The sequence below is a fragment of the Homo sapiens genome, chromosome 1 (assembly GCF_000001405.40).
Source record: "Homo sapiens chromosome 1, GRCh38.p14 Primary Assembly".
In the NCBI taxonomy this organism is placed as follows: domain Eukaryota; kingdom Metazoa; phylum Chordata; class Mammalia; order Primates; family Hominidae; genus Homo; species Homo sapiens.
In genome coordinates, this window is record NC_000001.11 from 205,552,858 (window position 1) to 205,571,408 (window position 18,551).

The 18,551-nt window shown below is 44.3% G+C and overlaps 1 protein-coding gene, 1 long non-coding RNA gene and 1 pseudogene across 3 annotated transcripts in view, besides 2 other annotated features; 2 read left to right on the forward strand and 1 right to left on the reverse strand.

Annotated features, from left to right (window-relative positions):
- Positions 1 to 1,414: 1,414 nt before the first annotated feature.
- On the reverse strand, positions 1,415 to 16,448 carry SLC60A1-AS1 (SLC60A1 antisense RNA 1). 2 transcript variants are annotated; one of them, NR_027086.2, is made up of 4 exons: positions 16,272 to 16,448; positions 5,594 to 5,693; positions 5,310 to 5,444; positions 1,415 to 3,987 (listed from the first exon to the last, which is right to left on the reverse strand). It is a non-coding gene; the product is annotated as an SLC60A1 antisense RNA 1 (long non-coding RNA). The 2 variants fall into 2 exon arrangements; NR_152721.1 differs by having other exon boundaries at positions 1,415 to 4,613.
- On the forward strand, positions 13,859 to 13,942 carry RNU2-19P (RNA, U2 small nuclear 19, pseudogene; annotated as a pseudogene).
- SLC60A1 (solute carrier family 60 member 1) overlaps positions 16,157 to 18,551 on the forward strand; it is a 33,905-nt gene continuing 31,510 nt past the window's right edge. Inside the window, exon 1 of the mRNA NM_181644.5 lies at positions 16,157 to 16,442. Coding sequence (NP_857595.3) covers positions 16,213 to 16,442 — 230 coding nt within the window. The 5' untranslated portion in view covers positions 16,157 to 16,212. The remainder of the gene's footprint in view (positions 16,443 to 18,551) is intronic.
- Positions 16,438 to 16,987: an enhancer, noted in NCBI's record as "H3K4me1 hESC enhancer chr1:205538423-205538972 (GRCh37/hg19 assembly coordinates)". NCBI's record gives its function as "activates a minimal SCP1, AML or CMV promoter by ChIP-STARR-seq in naive H9 embryonic stem cells {active_cell/tissue: H9 hESC(naive)}" and the evidence as "EXISTENCE:reporter gene assay evidence [ECO:0000049][PMID:30033119]".
- Positions 16,988 to 17,536: an enhancer, noted in NCBI's record as "H3K4me1 hESC enhancer chr1:205538973-205539521 (GRCh37/hg19 assembly coordinates)". NCBI's record gives its function as "activates a minimal SCP1, AML or CMV promoter by ChIP-STARR-seq in naive H9 embryonic stem cells {active_cell/tissue: H9 hESC(naive)}" and the evidence as "EXISTENCE:reporter gene assay evidence [ECO:0000049][PMID:30033119]".

Here is an 18,551-nt window from a genome sequence, read left to right on the forward strand (position 1 = left end):
TGAACATTTAAAGTAAATGTGCCAGGCGTGGTGGCTCATTCCTGTAATCCCAGCACTTTGGGAGGCCTAGGTGGGTGGATCGCTTGAGGTTAGGAGTTCGAGACCAGCTTGGCCAACATGGCCAAACCCTATCTCTACTAAAAATACAAAAATTACCTGGGTGTGATCGTGCATTCTTGTAATCCCAGCTAGTTGGGAGACTAAGGCAGAAGGATCACTTGAACCTAAGAGGCGGAGGTTTGTCGTGAGCCAAGACCATGCCATAGCACTCCAGCCTGGGTGCACTCCAGCCTGGGTGACAGAGCAAGACTCTGTCTCAAAAAAAAAAAAAAAAGTAAATGTTCAGAAGACAGAAGTTGGGAAGGGCAGCCTAAAGGGAAAGGTAGGAGTGATGATATCTTTATCCTATAAACAGTGAGTCAAAACTACTATCAACAGCTAGTGGGATGAAAAATAAAGATGTAGTCACTTAAAGCAACAGAGGTAATTGACAGATTTATTTTTATTTTATTTAGAGGAATTAAATAAGAACAGTTATATAACTGTACTGACAGTAGGGTGGGGGGACGGTTGTTTGGATTAGATATGTAAACTAAATCCTCATTTTTGATAAATTATTATTATTATCATTGTTTTGTGTGTGTGAGATAGGGTCTGGCTTTGTCACCCAGGCTGCAACCTCCGCCTCCCAGGTCCAAGCAATTCTCCTGTCTCAGCCTCCCAAGTAGCTGGGATTACAGGCATGTGCCATCACACCCAGCTAATTTTTTGTATTTTAGTACAGATAGGGTTTCACCATGTTCCTCTGGCTGGTCTTGAACTCCTGAGCTCAAGCAATCCGCCTGTCTCACCCTCCCAAAGTGCTAGGATTACAGGCGTGAGCCACCGTGCCCCACCTCATTTTTGATAGTTATAAATTAATAGAGGATGTTTAAACTTGAAAAGCCAAGGAACAGTGGCATTAGCATATTATTTAGAGATATGGAAGTTACTCCCAGAATAAAGAGCTAAAAGAGTTAGAAGCAGTTGCCTCTGGGGAGCAAGACTAGGGGTGGGAGGGATGAGGTAGGGGACTGTAAGCTCTTCTGTTCTAGTTTATTTTTAACCATGTGCATGAATTACTTTGATACAAAACATTTTAAGTGTGTCACAAGACAGATGAGAAGGTGGAGGGCAGACCTTTTGTGGCCATAGATGAGTTCTGGGGGCCTGATTCAGGTAGGACACCAGAGTCATGAAATCCCTTGCAGGTAGGACTGAAAAACAACCTAGATACTTGAGGACAGTGGAGATGGGAAAATGTTCCGATTTTTACAAGGAGACAGAAGGTATTTCTGGAAATTATAGACCAAACGGCTCAATATAGAATCCTGGCAACATTCTGGCACAGATTATTAAACAGATGGCTTGGGAGTGCTTTGTGACTTTTTATTTATTTATTTATATGCCACCTCATTCCAAAAAGAGGAATCTGTAGTGGCTTACAGAGATACATACTATACTATAAGACAAAAACATTTCTTTAAATGAGGAAAGGGTCTCAAAAAGTTAAACACAGAGTTACTATCTGACACAGCAAACCACCCTTCTAATATGTACCCAAGAGAACTAAAACATATTCACATAAAAACTTGTGCATGAATATTCTCAGCAGCATAATTCATAATAGCCAAAAAGTAGAAACCCAAATGTCCAACAGCTGATGAATGTATAAACAAAATGTGGTATGTCCATACAATAGAATACTATTCAGCCATAAAAAAGGAATAAACTACTGATACCATGGATGAACCTTGAAAACATTATGCTAAGTACAGGAAACCAGACACAGAAAGCCACATATTGTATGATTCCATTTATATGAAATATCTAGATATGAAATATCTAGAACAGGCAAATCCATAAAGACAGAAAGTAAGTCGAGGGGAAGAGAGAGTGAGAAGTGACTGCTAATGGGTGTGGAGTTTATTTTTGGGGTGATGGAAATGGTCTGGAATTAGTAGTGATGGTCACACAATCTTGTAAATACACTAAAAACCACTGGATTGTACACTTTAAAAGGGCGAATATTATGATATGTGAATTATCTCAATTAAAAAGCTTTATTATAGAAAAAGTTAAGGAAAGGAGGGTGTATTCATACATTCTCACACTGATATAAAGACATACTTGAGACTGGGTAATTTATAAAGAAAAGAGGTTTAATTGACTCATAGTTCTGTGGGCTATACAGGCTTCTGCTTCTGGAGAGGCCTCAGAAAACTTACAATCATGGCGGAAGGCGAAGGGGAAGCAGGCACATCTTCACATGGCCAGCAGGAAAAAGAGAGCAAAGGAGGAGGTGCTACACACTTTCAAACGACCAGATCTCATAAAAACTCATTATTGAGAGAACAGCAAGGGGGATGTCTGCCCCCATGATCCAATCACCTCCCACCAGGCCCCTCCTCCAACATTGAGAATTATAATTTGACATGAGATTTGGGTAGGGACACAGACCTAAACCATATCAGAGGGTGAAGAGAAAAAGACAAAAAATAATGCAGAACCAAGTCAATATGTAACACACACACCACAAAATTCTTTGTAGGTGATAAAGATGCACCATGGCTTTGATCTTGAGCTTTGCAGCAGCTACTACAAACCTGGAAAATAGTGTTAATTAAATGATTCCTGGAATCCGTAAGACAAACATGAACTGGTTGCTCAGGAGGATCATGGCCTTTTTTTGGTGCTGATGCCCAATAGGCATCTCTCTGGTGTGTCTTCATAAAGAGGATCCATTGACAACAACATCTCCCCATATCTCCGGTGACAAGAGTCGCACAGTTATATCCCAGGTTCAGTCAAATTGGACACAAAGCCCAAGTATAATTCAATAAAGGCACTTTAGTGCAGGGCCTAAATGGTACAGGATATGCAGGCAGTTCTTCAGTGGTAAAATGTGGATTTTCTGGAGCAGTGGTTTCCAACCCTAGCTGCACATTAGGAAGTCCTGGGAACTTTTGCAAAATACCAACACAGGACTCCACCAACCAGAGATTCTGATTTTTTCTATGTTTCCAGGGGATTTTAATATATAGCCAAATCTGAGAACTGATGAGATCGATAAATTGTACATTTTTCATGAAATCCTCTATAAATACTATTTCTTGCCTCAGAGTTTCATCAACTCAAGGTTATAATACTTAAACACATTTTTGCGTAGCTAATATTTTCTGAATGCCAGCTATGTACCAGGCAGGTGCTGTGCTCTAAGATATAAGGATAATTGTGTGACCCAATCTCTATCTTCAAGGAGCTGATCCAGTATTGATTCGGGTTACAGACACCTCAGCTGCTTGTCACAAAGGAAGGTGGTGAGGGGATGCAGAGAACACAAGGCAGGCACTCGGGGCAGCTCTGGGTGGGTGGAGCACTCCCAGCAGAATGAACAACTTAGCTGAGTCCCAAAGGAAAGATTAATTAGGAAAAAGTGGAGTGGGAGAGTGGTACATTGTGGTCAATATTTTTCTCAATAACTTGGATGACTATTAGTAACCATTCTATATGAATGTGAGGTGCCATGCTTACTCAAGAACAGCTGGAGGAATAGCCCCTTGCTACATGACTGAATGGGGGACCAAAGTGCACTGGTGGGCAAGAGGAACTCAAACCAAGATTAATTGACACTCCAGATCAGGGGAAGGCAACTAAGAAGCATGAGCAGTGCTGCCCTGAGTGTTCTACCAGAGGCTTTGCATGTGTTATCATGTAATCCTACATCGACATTTTACAGTTGAAGAAAATCAGCCTTATAATGTCAAGGTAGCCGCCTTGAGTTGGCACAGCCAAGTGTGTAGCCAGAACTCAAGTCTAAGCCTGTCTCACTCCACGGTCCAGGTTCTTTCTGTTATTCCACATGTATCAAGTCCTGTATCAATTCTTTAGATTCAAAGAATCAGCTGCTCATAGACAAGATAGGCAGGCTTGGTTCAGCTGCATTTTCTGTGGGGGAAAATGTTAACAGCTATCAGCTTATGCACTAGTCTTAGATGTGTGTATTGGAGTTGAATGTGAGAGGCAGACATTCTCATGGGAAGGATCCAGACTTTGGAGTCAGGCAACGCAGGCTCAAAACTCAGCTTTGCTACTTATGCTGTGTGACTTTAGGCAAGTTACTCTGCCTTCCTGAGCCTCAGTTTTCTTATCCATAAAATAGGGATAATAATATCTACCTCACAGGACCATTGTGAAGATTAAAGTTAATGTATATGCATGGAACATTTTCCAAGATAGAGCATATGTTAGGCCACAAAATAAATCCCAACAAATATTAAAAAATCAGGCTGGCTAGGTTGGGCATGGTGGTTCACACCTGTAATTCCAGCACTTTGGGAGGCCAAGGCATGTGGATCACTTGAGGTCTGGAGTTCAGACCAGCCTGGCCAACATGGTGAAACCCCATCTGTACTAAAAATACAAAAATTAGCTGGACGTGATGGTGCACGTATGTAATCCCAGCTATTCAGGAGGCTGAGGCAGGAGAATTGCTTGAACCCGGGAGGCAGAGGTTGCAGTGAGCCAAGATCGTTCCACTGCACTCTAGCCTGGGCAACAGAGAGAGACTCCATCTAAAAAAAAAAAAAAAAAAATTAGGTCGGCTATGGTGGCTCATGTCTGTAATCTCAACACTTCGGGGGGCAGGAGGATTGCCTAAGCCCAGGAGCTCGAGACCAGCCTGGGCAACACAGAGTGAGACCCCATCTCTATGGAAAAAAAAAAAAAAAAAAAAATAGAAACCTTACCTAGTATTTTCTCAAACTACAATGGAGTAAAACTAGAAATTAATAACAAAAGGACCCCTGGAAACTATACAAATACATGGAAATTAAATAATACATACCTGAACAACCACTGGGTCAATGAAGAAATTAAAAAGGAAATAAAAAAATGTCTTGAAACATGAAAATGGAAACACAACATACCAATACCCACAGGATACAGTAAAAGCAATACTAGGAGAGATGTTTATAGCGATAAATACTTATATCTAAAAAGTAGAAAGATTTCAAATAAACAACTCCATGATGCTCCTCATGGAACCAGAAAAGCAAAAACAAATTGAACCCAAAATTAGTAGAAGCAAAGAAAGAATAAAGATCAGGGCAGAACTAAACAAAATAGAGACTAAAAATAGTACCAAAAGATGAAAAAAATGAAAACTTGTTTTTTCTAAAGATAAACAAAATTGACAAATCATCAGCTAGACTAAGAAAAAGAGAACACCCAAATAAATAAAATCAGAAGCTAGGCACGGTGGCACATACCTAGAGTTCCAGCAACTTTGTAGGCTGAGACAGGAAAATCGCTTGAGGCCAGGAGTTCTAGGCTACAGTGTATGATGATTGTGCCTGTGAATAGCCACTGCACTCCAGCCTGGGCAACAAAACGAGCCTCCATCTCTTAAAAAAAAAAATCAGAAATGAAAAGGGAGACATAATTGACACCACAGAAATATAAAGAATCATTAGAAACTATTATGAACATCTATATGCCAACAAATTGGAAAACCTAGAGGAAATAGATAAGTTCCTGAATATATATAACTTACCAAGATTGAGCCAAAAAGAAAACCTGAAGAGACCAGTAACAGGTAACAAGATTGCACCCATCATGCCACTGCATTCAAGCCTGGGTTACAGAGCCAGACCCTGTCAAAAGAGGAGAGGAGAGGAGAGGAGATGAGAGAGGGGAAGAGGGGAGGGGAGAGGAGGGGAGGGGAGTCTAACACCAATTCTTCTCAAATTATTCCAAAATAATTAAAGAGGAAGAAATTCTTCCAAACTCATTCTATGAGGACAGCATTTGATACCTGATATCAAAAACCAGACAAGGACAAAACAGAAAAAGACAACTACAGGCCAATATTTCTGATGAACATAGATGTAAAAATCCTCAACAAAATATTAGCAAACAGAATCCAACAACACATCATAAAGGTAATAATACACCATGTTCATGTGAGATTTATTCCAGGAATGCAAGAATGGTTCAACATTTGCAATTCAATAAACATGATACGTCACTTCAACAGAATAAAGGACAAAAACCGTATGATCATCTCAATAGGTGCAGAAACAGGATTTAATAAAACTACATATTTTCATGATAAAAACTCTCAACAAATTAGGTTTAGAAGAAACATACCTCAATACAATAAAGGCCATATATGACAAACCCACAGCTCACATCATACTCAATGAAGAAAAGCTGACACCATTTCCTCTAAGAACTAGAACAAAATAAAGATGCCTACCCTCATCACTCTTATTCAACTAGTACTGGAAGTCCTAGCCAGAGCATTTAGGCAAGAGAAAGGAACAAAGGGTATCCAAATTGAAAAACAGGAGTCAAATTGTCCCTTTGCAGACAACAGGATTTTACATATAGAAAAATCTAAAAGATCACACACACACACACACACACACACACACACACACAAACCTCTTGGAACTGATAGACAAATTGAGTAAAGTTGCAGATACAAAATCGACATACAAAAATGAGAAAATGAGTAGCATTTCTATATGCCAATAATGAACTAGCTGAAAAAGAAATCAAGAAAGCAATCTCACTTATAGTAGCTACAATAAAATAAAATACCTAGAAATAAATTTAACCAAGGAGGTGAAAGATCTCTACAATGAAAACTATAAAACACTACTGGAAGAAATTAGAGAGACAAAAAAATGAAGACATCTTATGCTCATGGATTAGAAGAATTAATATTGTAAAATGAACATACTACCCAAAGCAATCTACAAACCCAATACAATCTGTTTCAAAATACCAATGACATTCTTAACTGAAATAGAAAAACAATCCTAAAATTCATGTGGAACCACAAAAGACCCTGAATAGCCAAAGCAATCCTGAGCAAAAAAAAAAAAAAAAAAAAAGAAAGCTGGAGGCATCACGCTGTCTTCAAAATATGCTACAGAGCTATAGTAACCAAAACAGCATGGTATTGGTATAAAAATAGACACATAGACCAATGGAACAGAATAGAAAACCCAGAAATAAATTCATGTATTTTCAGCCAACTGATTTTCAACAAAGTTGCCAAAAACATACCCTGGGAAAGGATAGTCTCTTAAATAAATGGTGCTGGGAAAATTAGATATTCATATGCAGAATAATGAAATTAGACCCTCATCTTGCACCATGTGTAAAAGTCAACTCAATGGATTACAGACTCAAACATAAGACCCAAAACTACTAGAAGGAAACATAGGGGAAATGCTTCAGGACATTGGTCCAGGCAATGATTTTATCCATAATATTTCAAAAGCACAGGGAACAAAGACAAAAATAGACAAATTGGACTATATAAAATGAAAAAGCTTCTGCACAGTGAAAGAAACAATCAATAGAGTGAAGAGACAACCTGTAAAAAGGGGGGAAACATTTGCAAAGTATTCACCAACAAGGGACTAATATCCAGAATACATAAGAAACTCAAACAACTGGACAGCAAAAAAAAAAAAAAAAAAAAAATTAAAAAGTGGGCAAAGGATAAAAAAAAATAGACATTTCTCAGAAGGATACATACAAATGGCCAAACAAACATAGAGAAAAATGCTCAGCATCACTAATCATCAAGGAAATGTAAATCAAAACTGCAATAAGATATAATCTCACCCCAACTAGAATGGCTGTCATTAAAATGATAAAAAAAATGCTGGTAAGGATGCAGAAAAAAGGGAACTCTTATACACTATGGGTGAGAATGCAAATTAGTAAAACTATTATAGAAAACAGTATGAAGGTTCCTTAAAAAACTAAAAATAGATCTAGCTACCATACAATCCAGCAGTCTCACTACTGAGTATTTATACAAAGAAAAGAAAATCAGTACATCAAAGAGCTATCTGAATCCTCATGTTTATTGACGCTCTATTCACAATAGCCAAAATATGGATTCAACCTAAATAGACATCAACAGATGAATGGATAAAGAAAATGTGGTTTATATACACAATGGAATACTATTCAGACATGAAAAATAATGAAATTCTGCCGTTCACAGAAACATGATGAACCTGGAAGGCATTCTGTTAAGTGAAATAAGTTCAGGCACACAAATATTAATGTAGCATGATTACATTCATATGTGGAAGCTTGAAAAAACTGAGCTCATAGAAGTAGAGATAGGATTGTGGTTATTAGAGATTTATAAGGGTGGGGGGACGAGGAGGATAGGGTGAGGATGCTTAATAGATACAAAGTTACAGCTCGATGGGAGGAATAGGTTCTAGTGTTCTATAGCACTGCAGGGTGAACATGGCTTACAATAACTTAGTGTATATCTTTGAATAGTTAGAAGAGAGGATTTTGAATGTTCACAACACAAAAAAAATGATAAATATTTGAGGTGATAGATATGCTAATTGCCCTGATTTGATCATTACATACATTACATACATTATACCTGTATCACAACATCACTCCCTGTCCTCAGACTGTGCAGATAAAAAAAAAACTCTGTGCCCATAAGTATGTACAATTATTCTGTGTCAACCAAAGATAAAAGGAAAAAATAATGTATGTGCAGACAAGAAAAAGGTATTTACAATACATGTAACTGACAAAGAACTCATATCCAGCATATATCAAGAACTCCTAAATAAATTTCAGAGATAGACAACCCAATTTTAAAAGTAAGCTGAAGACTCAAAGGGGTATTTCAAAAAAGAGGATGTGCAAATTGCCAATAAGCATATGATGAGATACTGAACCTTATTTGTCATGAGGGAAATGCAAATGAAAACCTTTGAGATACTAGTACCCCTACAGGGGAGGGGAGGGGAGGGGAGGACTGACAATGCCAAGTGTTGACAAGGATGAGGAACTAAAACTCTAGTAGGAGTGTACACTGGACCAACAACTTTGAAAAACTGTCTTGCAGCATCTGCTAAAACCAAACCTATCTGTGACATAGCAATTTCACTTCTGGACATAAACTGAATAGAATGGGAGCTTCTGTCCACCAAAAAATAAGCATACAAATGTTTAGAGTAGCTTTATTGTAGCTGCAAACTGAAAACAATCTGAATGTCCATCAATAGTAGATGAGAAAAATATATTGTGGTATATCCATGTAATGGAATACTACATAGCAATGAAAATAATGAACTGCTGCTCTCACATACATAATGTGGAGCAAGTACACTACTGTTTCTGGCATGGGTGCTGGAAATGTTCTATATCTTGATGTGGATGGTGGTCACATAGATGTGTACACGTATAAAAATCATCAAGCTATTTAAGACTTGTGCACTTTAATATATGTAAGTTTAACCTCAATCAAAACAGTAAACTAAAAAATACTATATGTTATGTGCTTGGCATGGAGTGGGCACTGAATAAATAGTTGTCAGAATTTCTAGAGAAGAGGAGGCAGCAAGCCCATTGCACTGCGCACTGCTCAGACCACCAGGAGCCCTCGGTGCAGTGCTGGGAGCCACCCTTTTTGAGAGGGTCGCTGACCATGACAGCATGGCATGACGGTGTGATAAGAATAGCAAGGGAGTACTTGGTAAATGAGAGATGGCTGAAGGAAGCAGAGACAATGATGTCAGGAATAAGACTTCGAAAGAACATAGAGTGTATTCCAATAGTGAATGGCTCTCTGTAGAATGGGAATTAGACTTTTGCTTTGTGGCTCTAAAGTAGTGATTCTCAAACTGTAGCTGCATCTCAATCCCCTGGAGGGCTTGTTAAAACACAGATTATTGCTGCGCACGGTGGCTCACGCCTGTAATCCCAGCACTTTGGGAGGCCAAGGCGGGTGGATCACTTGAAGTCAGGAGTTCGAGACCAGCCTGGCCAACATGGCGAAAACCCATCTCTACTAAAAACAGAAAAGTTAGCCAGGCGTGGTGGCGTGCACCTGTAATGCCAGCTATGCAGGAGGCTGAGGAAGGAGAATCGCTTGAACCCGGGAGGCGGAGGCTGCAGTGAGCCAAGATCACACCACTGCACTCCAGCCTAGGCAATAGAGCTAGACTCTGTCTCAAACAAAAACAAAAACAAAACAGGTTACTGAGCCTCACCCCTAGAGTTTCTAATTCAGCTAGTCTTGGGTAAGACCAAGAGTCTGAATTTCTAACAAGTTCCTCAGACATGCTGCTGCTGGTGGTCCAGGGACACGCTTTGCCAGCCACTGTTCTAGTGCACAAAATGAGGATGGCAGTTTGTGTTGTTGTTAATAATAATAACCATGAGAATTTATTGGGAACCTGGTGTACCAGCTCCTGTTACATACTGTCTACATTTTCTCACAGTAAGGGAGTTCTTATTCACCCCATTTAAAAAACGAGGAAACCGAGGGTCAGTTTCTCACTGATTTCACAGCCTGGGCTAGATCCACTGATTCCTGAGCCTAGGCGTGCTCAAGCTGAGGCCAGGTGGCTACCTGCAGGGATGCTGGATGCTGTAAGTGGAATCCCATTTCTGAGTGGGAGGTTGCACTAATTTCTTTCTTTCTGTCTTTCTTTTCTTTCTTTCTTTCTTTCTTTCTTTCTTTCTTTCTTTCTTTCTTTCTTTCTTTCCTTTCTTTCCTTCCTTCCTTCCTTCCTTTCTTCTTTCTTTCTTTCTTTTTTTTTTTTTTTTTTTGAGACGGAGTTTTACTCTTGTTGCCCAGGCTGGATTGCAATGGCACAATCTCGGCTCCCTGCAACCTCTGCCTCCTGGGTTCAAGTGATTCTCCTGCCTCAGACTCCCGAGTAGCTGGGATTACAGGCGCACGCCACCACGCCTAGCTAATTTTGTATTTTCAGTAGAGACGGGGTTTCTCCATGTTGGTCAGGCTGGTCTCGAACTCCTGACCTCAGGTGATCTGCCCTCCTCAGCCTCCCAAAGTGCTGGGATTACGGGCGTGAGCCACCATGCCTGGCTGGTTGCACTAATTTCAGAGAGTCCTTCCAACTGTCCGTTAAACTAGTTTCAACTAGCACTTTTAAGCACTAGCACCTAATAAGCACCAACTAAATGCCAGATGCTAGGCAACACCTCTCCAGGGTGTTTATGGCAACTGGTCTAACTCTAAGATGTTTCCGGGTCATCTCACCTCCTCCTGTCCCTCCCTTTCTTGGCACTTGTGTGACCACTCCCCTTACCCTCCAGGCAGGCTAGCACTAAGTAGCTCAACCGGATATTTGGTAAAGGAGGCTCTTTGTACACACACCCGCCTCTGCTGTATTTGCATTCATGTGCCTTAGGATGGCTGGGCCATCCAGGTATAGTCCTTGGCACCAAACTATCTGCCATCCGCCCCATGCCAACCTCAGACAGAGCCTTCCAATCCACCGCCACACTCTGGCCAGCAAAACAACCACACAGGGAGTGACAAGACAAAATCTGGAGATAGGGGAGGGGTGGCTTCATGACCCAGAATGGCCAGACTAACTGCAGGATGTGCTTAATGACCTTGAGCTGGAGACTTCACTCTACTGCTCCTGCCTGGCCTCTGCAGAATCTGGAAGCAGAGACCAGAAGGCCCTGGGGACAGAGGGCAGCCCCAGGTCACTAAGAGGATCCTGCTAAGCATGAAATCAAGCCCAAGTCCCAGTGACTCCCCACTAGGCTGGTGAGAATCAGGCCTCTTCTCTTTATATCTCATTTAAATATTTAAGGTTTTCAGTTCTAACAGAAACAGTAACAAAAACAAAATACACAACATGGGTTTATACACTAAGGAATTTCTGCAGCTGTAATGCATGTAAAAGGATAGTGGTAAGGGTATCTAACTCTTATTTCATTGTTCGTTTACTTTCTTCTGTGTGTTTCCATGACATAGATTACCTACAGATGGTCCAAGATCTGCAGGTGATTTATTGCTTCTCAACTTCCAGGTATAAAGCATAGGAGTTCAGCTGAGTGCAGTGGCTCACGCCTGTAATCCCAGCACTGTAGGAGGCTGAGATGGGCAGATCACCATGGGCCAACATGGTGAAACCCTGTCTGTACTAAAAATACAAAAATTAGCCAGGTGTGGTGGCGTGCACCTGTAATCCCAGCTACTTGGAAGGCTGAGGCAAGAGAATCACTTTAAACTGGGAGGCAGAGGTTGCAGTGAGCTGAGATTGCGCCATTGCACTCCAGCCTGGGTGACAGAGCTACATTCCATCTCAAATAATAATAATAATAATAATAATAATAATAATAATAATAATAAATGAATAAATAAAAGGCCGGGTGTGGTGGCTCACGCCTGTAATCCCAGCACTTTGGGAGGTCGAGGTGGGCAGATCATGAGGTCAGGAGATCGAGACCATCCTGGCTAACATAGTGAAACCCCGTCTCTACTAAAACTACAAAAAAAATTAGCCGAGCGTGGTGGTGGGTGCCTGTAGTCCCAGCTACTCGGCAGGCTGAGGCAAGAGAATGACGTGAACCCGGGAGGCGGAGCTTGCAGTGAGCCAAGATGATGCCACTGCACTCCAGCCTGGGCAAGAGAGCAAGACTCCGTCTCAAAAAAAAAAAAAAAACACAAGAGTTCAGTGTAGTATAAACACCTCTCACCAAGGAGTCAGAAATCCAGGCACCCAGTGATGAACCAATCCTGTGGTCCTTGCCTTGGAAGGGCGGCACTAAACAGAATCAGCACTAGGATAGTTTGGGAGCCCCAAGGAGGGAGCCTAGGAAGGTCAGAAAAAGGCTTCTGGAGAGCCAACCCTTGAGGCAATTAATAGATTTCAGGCTCCAAGAGCTTGAGAACCCTTTACTCCCACAGATCCTTTATTCCAATTAATGTAACCTTTCCATATTTGGGAGTCTCAGATCACTTTCCTTGGCTTGTGACGGTGGGGGATAATTCCCTTCTAATTTATAAGGGGGGAAATCAGAGAGTAGTTAAAGAAGGATCCAAGGTTTTGCCCTTCAAATTTAAGAATAACCACAAGGTGCCCAACTAAGAACAGACATGTGAATACACAGCACAAAGGAAAGACTGGATAGCGTCTGCCCTTGGGGAACTTGTAAGTGGGAGATAAGACATGTAAATGTAAAGCCAAAAGTAATTGTATAATTTTTGTGCAAACAATTCACCTCACCAGCTATTTGTCCAGGACTTGCTATCTGCAAGGCATTCTTTTATGTGAGGCACATGAGAAGGGGTGGAGTTAGAACACAGGTAAATATACTCCCAGCCCTTAGGAACTCATGATTTAACTGGCTCCCGTAAGGGGCTGGAGGAACAGTCCGTGGAATGTAATACCTGGCCTTGTGAAGATAGGGTAGCAGTACAGGAGTGGATGAGAGTCTTGCTGGAAATAAGAATTTAATAGAATTAATTCATCTGGGAAAGATGCCTAGAGGAGGTGGACAGTGTGTGATGCTGGAAAACAGAAGGGACAGAGAAAGGGATGAAGAAAGCAAAAATAAGCAAAACGTTTTCACATATAGACTTGGCTTTCAGACCCCACTCAAAAGTCACCTCTTCCATGAAGCCTTCCCAGGCAGAATTAGACACTTAGCTCTCCAGGCCCTCAAACCACCCCATTACAGAAGGTACCTCACTGCTGCACAGTTGGCCCCCTGTCTCTGTGGGTTCTGCATTTGTAAATTCAACCAACTGCAAATCGAAAATATTTGGGAAAAAAATTCATCTGTACTGAACATGTACAGACTTTTTTCTTGTCGTTATTCCCTAAACAATACAGTATAACAACTATTTACATAGCATTTACAGTGTATTAGGTATTATAAGTAATCCAGAGATGATTTAAAGTATACAGGCCTATGGATGTAGGTTATATGCAAATACTATGCCATTTTATATCAGGGACTTGAGCACCTTCAGATATTGGTATCTATCGTTTCTCAGCCTTTTGGCAAGACCAAGTGTAGTATCTGTTCTTATCAGATATTGGTATCTGCAGGCACTCCTGGAACCAATCCCCCCACGGGATATGGGATATGGAGAGACAACTGTAACTTGTTTCCATATCTGCTTATCTCAACCAGAGGACCTTGTACAGTACCAGAACCCAATAGGTCTTTGACTATGAAGAGGCTGAGTACTGTATTCACGGTGGAATGCCTCCCTTTATTTTTACTTACTTTTTATTTTTACTTTTTACCATTTTAATCAAGTATAACTTACACACAAAAATGCACAAATCTTAAATCTACAGACCAATAAGTTTTTACATATATTTACACCTGTGTAACTACCACCTAGATCAAGCTTCAGAATGCTTCCAGCATCCCAGGCACTGGGGGCTACCTCATTGTGGCAGGGTCATTTGTTACTGTGGCTAGAGGAGCTGAGCCAGCAAGGTGCTGTAGTTGGGGAACGCCATTTAGGGAAATTATGGAAGGATTTCAGGTGTTTGGGCTAGAGAAGCAAAATCATTAGGGCAAGGTCATTTTGGGTGTGAAGGACTTACATGACAGAGCAATTAGATTTGTTCTGTGTGGGGCCGTGGGGAGCAGTTACAGGGCGAAGCATTTCAATTTTGCCTAAGACCATTTCTACAACCAGAGCTCATCCACACTGCAAGCAGAGCCCCTAGGAATATGCAAGGTCCCCAGCACTAGAGGTGTCAGTCAAGAACAGGACTGGCAAGCATTCAAAGGCAGTTATGGGGAGGGGATAGGGGACTCAATTGGAGGCTATTCCTTCCAATTCTGAGCTTCTATGGTTCCTGGAGTTCTGTGATAGTGGCAGAGAAGACTCAGTCAAAAACTTGTGGTTATGATTTGTTTGGTGTTTTTTCTTTTTTTTTCCCCCAGAGGGTAGCTTTTCAGTTTATTACAATTACTGTGCAGGCCCCCCATCATCACTATCGAATAAGTACTTGTCATTACCCACAGAGTGATGAGCCAGAGGGACCCTGGGGCTCCCCCTTCTCTGGGGCTCACTGTCCAAGAAGGGATAGGGCAGATGCAGGGGTGCGGCTATGAGATGGGACCAGTACCTGCAAGAGAAATTGGTTGCCCCACCTCATGCCAAGTTGTCTTGGGGACACCCGCCCACATACCTCCTCAGTCTTTTCAGCCCTGGTCCCCCTGGTGGGCCAGTGGAAATGATGTCATGGCTCCTGTCATTACCAGAAGACCTGGGCAGAGGGGACACCGCAGGGCCTTACTGTTCTGCCTCCAGGGGCCAGATCCTGGCTCCCTTAGGAGCGGGAACACACAGAACCCACCAGCCAGCCCGAGGCCACCTAATGAAGGGACAGCCTAGGTCAGCTGCAGGCTCCTCGAAGGACACCCAGTCTAGAGAATAATCAACCCCTACTCACTGCCAGGGATTTATCCATGGAAGAAAGAATTTTCCCCAGAACTCTTTTTAAATTTTTTTTTCTAGGAGATTATTTCAGAATTCCTCCCGGGGTTCCTCCAGGACGCGGCCCTTCCCTCTCTGCCCTCCTCCAACTAGTTAGAAGGAGAGAGAGAGAGTCAGCATAGACCAGCGTCATCCTCCTCCTTCCCGCACCTGGCCAGGTGGGGAGGAGGGCCTCATCTCAGGCCCTTCCAGGGAGCTTAGTGTGAGGAAGATGTTGAGTTTCTAGGGTTCTCCTTCTAAAGGGCAATGTGATTAACCTCTTGGGGTTCTAATGAAAGCCATGCACGAATACTCTCCCAAGGAGAAACATATGTACAACAAGATTTTGCCTTCTGTTCTGGGGGAAAGGGGGGTGCCGTTAGACCCTCGAAGTCCATCTGTGAAGCGCCTAGGTTTAAAGGGGTCCGGGTTTCCTCCACTGCCACAGCCCGGGTGCGGGGAGAGGGCCCCTAGCCTTATCCGGAGATACAGGATGTCTCGGGCTCTCCATCTGCCGGGCTCTAAAATGGGCGCTCGGTCCCTGGGGGCTGCATCCGGAGGCTGGGGGGACTGGTCGAGGGAGAGCGGGCGGGGGGCAGCGCGGCTCCCGGTTGGTCTCCGCAGCCGGGGGAGGGCGAGCATGTGCGCTCGGGTAGGAGGGGGAGGCCGGCGCCTGGCACCGCACGGGGAAGGCGCGGGAGCGGACGCACTGCCCACCCGCCGCAGAGGCGCCCCCGCCGCCGCCCGGGCCCAAGGGCGGGGCCCCTCGCTGGGGCGGCCCCTCCCCGCCCCTCCCTCCCCGCCGCGGGCCTCCCCAGCCCGGCCGGCCCTCCCGCGGGCGGCACTCGGGCACCGGGCTCGCCGGGACCAGATCCGCGAGCCCGTCAGCCTGCGCCATGGGCTGCGACGGCCGCGTGTCGGGGCTGCTCCGCCGCAACCTGCAGCCCACGCTCACCTACTGGAGCGTCTTCTTCAGCTTCGGCCTGTGCATCGCCTTCCTGGGGCCCACGCTGCTGGACCTGCGCTGTCAGACGCACAGCTCGCTGCCCCAGATCTCCTGGGTCTTCTTCTCGCAGCAGCTCTGCCTCCTGCTGGGCAGCGCCCTCGGGGGCGTCTTCAAAAGGACGTGAGTGCCGCGCCCGTGCGCCCCCGCCCCGCGGCCCCCGGCACCCACCCTCGCCGGGCCGACCCTTCCCTCCCGCCCCGCGACCCGGCCTCTCCCCCGGCCCCGTGGGGCTGCCCGTCGCCCCCGCCTCCCGGCCGCGACCACCCCTCCCAGCTCCATCTTGGCCGAAGAGCTGCCTCCCTCCCTCCCTCCCTCCCCCGCAGCTCTCCCTGGAAAACTCTCTCCAGAGACTGAAGGTGACTTCTGGCTTATTTATTTGTCATCACTCATCCCTGTGAGAGGATAAAACCAGTTCCCACCTGCTTCCCCCACCCACCGCCCCGTGGGGAGAGGAGTGATAGAGTTTGCAGAGGTGGGGAGGGTGCCCCTCTTACACAGCTCCTCTGGGGTTTGTCAGTAGCCCCGGCTGCCGGGGGCGGGATTGGCAGTGAGGTGGAAGGACCGTGGGAGGGCCAGCTCTGTGGCGGTGCAGGGTGCTGGAGGTGGCCTGCGGCTTGACTGATTCCCAGGGCCAGGCTCCACTGTAGGCAGCTCCACATCAGCTAACACAGGCTGTCCCTTCCCCCGGGTAGCCACGGGGTTTAGTGGGTTCTGTGTAGCCCTCCTCCTGAGGCAGCCAGAACATGGTTCCTGCATGGGCCCCCGAGACACACAGGACCTCACCGTTAAGGCCAGGTTGGGAGGGGCAGGGCACTTTACCCATAGCTTGGTAAGGTGACTCTCCAGCCCTGGTGCCAAGGTTCCCCTCCACTCCCCACCCACCTCATCCTACTCCTGCTGGGCCTCTGCCCCACGACAGGGCTCTGGACTCTCCCTGGCACCACCCCCAGAAATCCCCCTTTGACACTATTGCAGAGCCTTATTCTCTCGGCTTAAATTGGACAGGGCCACCTCCGGGCTCCCTTGTGGAAAGACAGCCAGATTCACTCTCCCAGTGCAGCATGGAAAACAGAGACCCATAATAGAATAGGGAATAGATGACTTGCAAGCCAGAGGCTGCTGCTTGATTTCCCCAGTCCCAGCTCCTGGCTGAGTGGTTTCCTAGATCCCATGGACTCAGTCGAGCAAGCAGCCGGCCTGGAGAAAAAACCGCAGTTGGGCTATCCCAGAGAAACCTCTGGAGGGGCCGTTCTGGGCTGTGGTCATGCCCTTTGGCTTAACGCCTACAGGTGTTCGTGAGGGCAGGTGTTTCCATCCACCTTGCTTCCAGAGCTGGTGGAAGGAGCACAGGTGTCAGTACAGATGGACCCCACTTTAAGCCTTAAAAACATGACCAATTTTGGAAGCGATTATCCCCATTTTCCCCAAATCTTCTTGTAAACCAAATTATTCTCTTCTTAAAAAGCAAGTCTCCTTGTGTACACCAGTGTTTTGTGGGTGTGGTACAGGATTGGAATATACAGAAGATTCAGAAAATCTTAAGGACAAGCTCAAGATTCATTCTGCCTAGAGGTTTAATTAGAAACTAAGATAAAGTATCTGTGGCTAGCACAGGTTTTTTGGTTTTAAGTACTTTGACTTACAAAAGCTCCTTTACCTGGAACTTTTAAAGAAAATATGTAGTGCAAAGAACACGGAGGGGAAGGAGGATAATTTGAAATGACAGGTTGGCAGGGCAGGGTTTGTGAAGCCAGCAGAGATGCACACCCACCCAGCTGGGCCATCTCTTCCTGGGTAGTTTTGTATCTTCCTCAGCACTGCTTACCCAACAGGGGGCTCTGAACAGGCAGCAGAGAGAACCCTGCAGCAGGAACTGGCTCACAGAAGAGAAAAAAAATCATGGTAACAATGATAACTAACTTTATTCTGCACTTACTGTGTGCCAGGCACTATTCATAGTACTTCACATGTATCAGCCCATTTAATCTTCACAACCACCTTGCGAAGTAGTACTGTTATCTCCATTTTATGCATAAGGAAGTGGAGGCACAGAGAGGTTAAGAAACTTGGCCCACATCACATGGTTGTTAAGAAGAGGCCTAGACAGAATTTGAACCCAGGTGTTGTCTCTAAGACAGATACTTAGGCAATCCCTCTTGCTTTGTGAGTCATCAGTGTAAACTCTGCAGATCAGGCACAGGTTTGGGATGAGTAGCCCTAAGGATGCTC